Source organism: Homo sapiens, chromosome 10 (assembly GCF_000001405.40).
Source record: "Homo sapiens chromosome 10, GRCh38.p14 Primary Assembly".
Classification (NCBI taxonomy): domain Eukaryota; kingdom Metazoa; phylum Chordata; class Mammalia; order Primates; family Hominidae; genus Homo; species Homo sapiens.
Window position 1 is genome coordinate 28,921,375 of NC_000010.11, and position 5,541 is coordinate 28,926,915.

Below are 5,541 nucleotides of genomic sequence, written 5' to 3' on the forward strand. Positions count from 1 at the left end.
TGTCTTTAGGAGGAATAAAAAAGATTTTGTTTTTAACAATTCTTCATCTCTGACAACCGAATACAATTTTTTTCCAACGTGACCAAAGAGTGCTGAACATCTCACCAGCAATGTCATCTTTCGCTCCACCTTGAAGTGAACAGAGTGATAAGAAAATCATTTTTTCACTAGTAGAAAAGTTATATGATTTCTAAGAATCCTTGGGCAGTCATTGCTTTGAAGACTTGTTTGACCAAAAACTCATGTTGCCCATCAAAGACTCTTAGCTTTTTCTCAACAGTTGTAATGAGAAGGATTATGATCAGTTCTTAAAAGTGTACAAGTTAACAAGATAATACTTGGCATCAAGTCCATCTCTAAGCTTCTTAAAAGGTCTTTAAAACAAACGATTAACTCTCTTCACACTACCTATGGATGGAGTAGACTTCATTGAAGGTTTGGAAAAAAAGGGAGAGGAGGGACTAGCAGGCAGGGCGGTTTTTTGTTTGTTTGTTTGTTTTGAGACAGAGTTTCGCTCTTGTTGCCCAGGCTGGAGTGCAATGGGGCGATCTTGGCTCACCACAACCTCCGCCTCCCAGGTTCAAGCGATTCTCCTGCCTCAGCCTCCTGAGTAGCTGGGATTACAGGAGCCTGCCACCATGCCTGGCTAATTTTGTATTTTTAGTAGCGACGAGGTTTCTCGTGTTGGTCAGGCTGGTCTCGAACTCCTGACCTCAGGTGATCCGCCTGCCTTGGCCTCCCAAAGTGCTGGGATTACAGGCGTGAGCCACTGCACCCAGCCAAGCAGTTCTTAAAATGCTCTTATAGCCCTTTGACCCCCCTTTCCCCACTCCCTGTGTCCTCTCTAGGCTGCCTGTCTGCTGGGTGCCCCCTTCGCTGCTTCCATGACTGCCTCTCACCCTCCCTCCTGGATTGTTCTGGCAGGCTCACATTCTTTTCCTTCTGTGATGCAGAGCAATTCCATGCTCTTCTACTAGAATTCTCAGGTTTGACTCAGAGTCCAGGGTCCAGGCAGGAAACAGAAACCACACCAGTGACTTTCACAGAAAGAATTTAATATACAGAATTGCTAACTAGAATTAGGTTACTGACCAGTTAACTGAAATGGCAGAATGTATAGTAAGGTATCCCAGAGGTAGCAATTGCAGAAGGCAGCTACCACCCCAAGGGCTGAAAGAACTATGGGAAGAGTTTGGAGCTATGAAAACATAAATGCTTGAGGATGGGCCCTGTGAAGATGGGATTCTCACCTAGGATGAAAGTGTACTTCTTAGTCAGAGCTAGTGTCTCTGAGCTGGGAGAAGAAGTGTGAGGGTCTGGGACCCAGATTTCCACAGAGGAAATATTGTCTATCTGGTGCTGGTGTTTCTAAGGCTGAGGTGTGAAGAAGCTGGCTGTGCAAGTGCTAGAAAAGCTGGCACCTGGATTCTGTGGCTGATGTGGAAAGGAACTGCCTCTGCGCAGTGAAGTAGTATTGCTACCATGATGCTCAAAAGAGTAGGAAACAGATAAGAAGAAATATGTTCCCTTCTCCTCTTCCAGCCCTGCAGTCTCCCTCTTGAATCCCTTCTTGGTGGAACCTAATAGAGCAGGTGGCCATATAGAAGTGTGGTTTGCAGGTCTGACATCAGCATCACTGAGCAGAATACAGAAGGAAGACATGGAGCTGACAGACAATAGCTTCATAACTGGTGTACACACCCAAAGCCACTAGCGTGTTTAGCAAAATCAAAGAGCTTCCAGTTGAACAGCGTTGCCCTTTCATCTCAGTGGCCTTTCTCTGTCATGGACACCTGGCTGGCACATGACTGAAGGAACTAGCAGGTGGGAAAAGGAGAGGAGAGATCAAATATTTAAGATGTGCCTCCTTTGCCCTCCAGTGCCAGATCCTTAGGTCTGGGAACTCACATCTAAGTGCTATTGGCATCTTCCTGGGACCTTAGGAAAAAATTTGCCACAGCAGTTTCCAACCTGTCTGGGAAGCACTTGAGGCTTAGCTCCTGCACCATCCACTTGGAACTGGATTGGTTGTCCTTGTCCCTGACTCTTCTATGATTTCCTCTCTGTATCCAGCTCTATTTAGATGGCTTATCCTCTGTAAATCTTCCCTCTATAAAGGCATTACTCTGCTAGATCTCCTCCATTCACCCCGCATTGCAGTCACAGCCAAGGCTCAGGCCCATGCCCATCTGATTCCAGGCCTATGGACACAACCTTTACCTCTCAGGACAGGGGGAAGTGATGCTTTTAAAATGTCAAATCTTGTCTCCTTCCCAATAATTTTAAATATGATTTCCATATAATGATAAGGCTTTGTGAGATTCAGAGAGGTTAAGTAGCTTGCCCCAAATCATACAGCTAGAAAGTGGTAAAGCCTGGGTTTCAATACTTGATGGTTTGGCCCTGTCTCCTACCTTGAAGATGACACTTATGTGGAAAATAAGTGGCAGTTTCCTCTTTCTTCTCCCAATCTCTCATCTATGAATGAAATTAGTAAAGGATAATCCAGGAGTGGTGGTTTACGACTGTAATCCCAGCACTTCGGGAGGCCAACGCAGGAGGATCACTTGAAGTCAGAAGTTTGAGACCAGCCTGGGCAACATAGAAAGACTCCACCTCTACCAAAAAAAAAAAAAAAAAAAAAAGAAAAAAGGGAAAAAAAAGGAAATTAGTAAAGGATACTAGCATTCCTTCCTGCTGGTTGAATTCTGCCTCAGAAGGTTTCTTAGCACAGTGCTCTAGAACACCACTACCAATTAAATGGAGCTGGCACACGAGATGAAACTTACTTAACGTGTTTGCCATGAGCCACCCTCTTTTCTTTCTTTTTTCTTTTTCTTTTTTTTTTTTTTTTTTTTGAGTCGGGGGTGATGGGTAGATCTCGGCTTACTGCAACCTCCGCCTTCTGGGTTCAAGCAATTCTCGTGCTGCAGCTTCTTGAGTAGCTGGGATTACAGGCGGGCGCCATCACGCCCGGCTAATTTTTGTATTTTCAGTAGAGACGGGGTTTCATCATGTTGCCCAGGCTGATCTCGAACTCTTGACCTCAAGTGATCCGCTTGCCTCGGCCTCCCAAAGTGCTGAGATTTTTGGCTTAAGCCACTGCGCCCGGCCCTATTTTCTATGTAATTTGAAAGGCGCTGTAGAATTTGATGAGTCGGGAAGCAGAAGCAACTGTGGCTCCACAACCTTTTTCTCCTCTGCTTTTAAGGCATGTGTTCTTTTGGGGTGGATCTGATTTTGTTCTGGTGTTCTGAATCAAAGCAGAAGCACGTGCAGGGGAGGTGGGAAGGGTGTCAGTGTAATCACAAAGGGGAACGCTCCCTGGCTCCAGCTCTCAGGAGGCTCCTGAGGGCTCCCGAAGAAAACTGTGCTGCCTTCTGGATTCCAGGCAGCACAGGCTCCCTTCAGTTGAACCTGAGGCAGTTCCAGCCCGCCAAGCCATTTCCCTTGGCCACCCAGAGCTAGACGGGGAAGAGGTAAAGGAGATTTTGGCAAGAACAGGCTACTGGCCCCTGCTGCTAAAACATGCCTGCCCACAGTGCTTCAGAGAAAGGTATTACTGAGGTTCCGGGGGAACGCCCTGATTGTCTCTGGAATAGGGATCCTTCAGGGCACGGGTCTGAGCGCAGCACTGGGGTGCCACTGGAGAGCCACATGCACCCACCTCCTTCCGTCTCCCCGCATCCTCCCCATGTGTGGAAGCACCCCTCTGTACCACGGGAGCTTGTAGAGCAAAGCTAACATACGGTAATGTCAGCTCGGCCAAGAGAAATAAGGCGGCGGGGCTGGCTGCGCACCAGAGGGAGGCGGCGGCCCCTAACCGAAGGTTTCCGCACGGAGAATTACGCCGCAGAAGCAGCAACAGACCCGCGTATTCATGAGCTCGTGTCACCGGGAGGTCGCTGCCAGGCCTTAGCCCAACCACCATTTCGTTTCAGGAAATGCTGCCAGACTCCAAAATCAGCATAGCAAGGCTGTCCTGATACTTAGATGCGTAAATCAGGGCCGCCGAGGGGGTCGGCCTGCGGCCACTGGGCGCAAGCGAGGAAGACGCCGGGCCAGTGCTCAGGCTCCAGATCTGATTGGCTTAATGTGGTCTGGGACAGATCATCCTGAGCTTCTGAGGCGCAGAAGGAGAGGAAAAGCCTGCCATGGGAGCTGTGTGGTTTCTCAAAGCCAATTTGGTGCAGAGGCTCAGCGGCAGGGCTCGATGACCTGGGACCGGTGTTGCTGTGTTCCCGGGGAGTCAGGTATCAGGACACACATGTGAAGCACTCTGAGGACCCTGTCACCTGCCCTGAGGATTAGACCTGAATTATTTATAGTCCTCCTTTTGCTTTACAAGCCCTGGGGCAAGTGGTTCAGGCTGGCAGGATGAAAATTGGCGTGTGAGTTTTGGGAGGAGTATTCACTAACTTTACTTGTTTTGTGATTCTCTTGGAAGGTAAATAGGGCAAATAAATAACCCACATTTCCTCTGTTTTCCACTAATCAAGGAGGGATTTGCTTGCTTACTTATCAAGTGTGTCTGGTACTCACCTAGATAGAAATATGGACCGGAGGAAAGGTGTTTCTCTCTGTGTGTACATATTAAATAGATCTGTATGCCTTTTCTCGTATTAGAAAAAAAGAGGCCGGGTGCGGTGGCTCACGCCTGTAATCTCGGCAATTTGGGAGGCCGAGGCAGATGGATCATTTGAGGTCAGAGTTCGAGACCAGCCTGGCCAGCATGGCGAAACCCCATCTCTACTAAAAATACAAAAAAAAAAAAAGAAAGAAAAAGCGGGGCGTGGTGGTGGGCATCTGTAATCCCAGCTACTCAGGAGGCTGAGGCAGGAGAATCGCTTGAACCTGGGAGGCAGAGGTTGCAGTGAGCCGAGATTGCGCCACTGCACTCCAGCCTGTGCGACAGAGCAAGACTGCATCTCAAAAAAAGAAAAGAAAAAAAAGAAAATAAAGGCAAGCAATGGAGAGGGTGGTTGTGGTTCACAGAGGTCTGTGAGAAAATGTGACATGAGAGATTGATGTGCTAGTTCTCCTGCTGCACCACCGCTGGGTATGACACGTGCTCCCTGCACTGAGTCCCTTTATCTGATAGGACATTGCCATCATGTCACTTAGAAAAGCTCACTGAAATTCTGCTACAATTCCCTCTACTTTGAATGGAAGGAATTTGTTAGCTTAAGCGTCTTCCAGGAAAGAATATTGTATCAGGAGGTCATCGGGATGTCTCCTAAAACCCCTCAATGTCTTACTAGCCGTATAAATTGGACGGAGTTCCTAACTTTTTAGGCCCTTGGTTAGTTTATCAATGAAATGGAATCGTACACATATACGCATATGCAGACGTATATATGAATATACATACATCTATGTATACTCACATATCACACACATAGAAGCCAGTTGCAACCATTATATGAAAACATTGTCTGAATGTGTGTTCTGATTAGAAATTAAAGATTAAGACATTACACGCATTTGTGTAGTGTAAGCACACTATTAATATTTTTTGAGAATGGTGACTATAGCTGATGA

General features: G+C 47.2%; 1 annotated feature.

Moving 5' to 3' along the window:
- Window positions 3,840–4,538: an enhancer, noted in NCBI's record as "H3K4me1 hESC enhancer chr10:29214143-29214841 (GRCh37/hg19 assembly coordinates)". NCBI's record gives its function as "activates a minimal SCP1, AML or CMV promoter by ChIP-STARR-seq in primed H9 embryonic stem cells {active_cell/tissue: H9 hESC(primed)}" and the evidence as "EXISTENCE:reporter gene assay evidence [ECO:0000049][PMID:30033119]".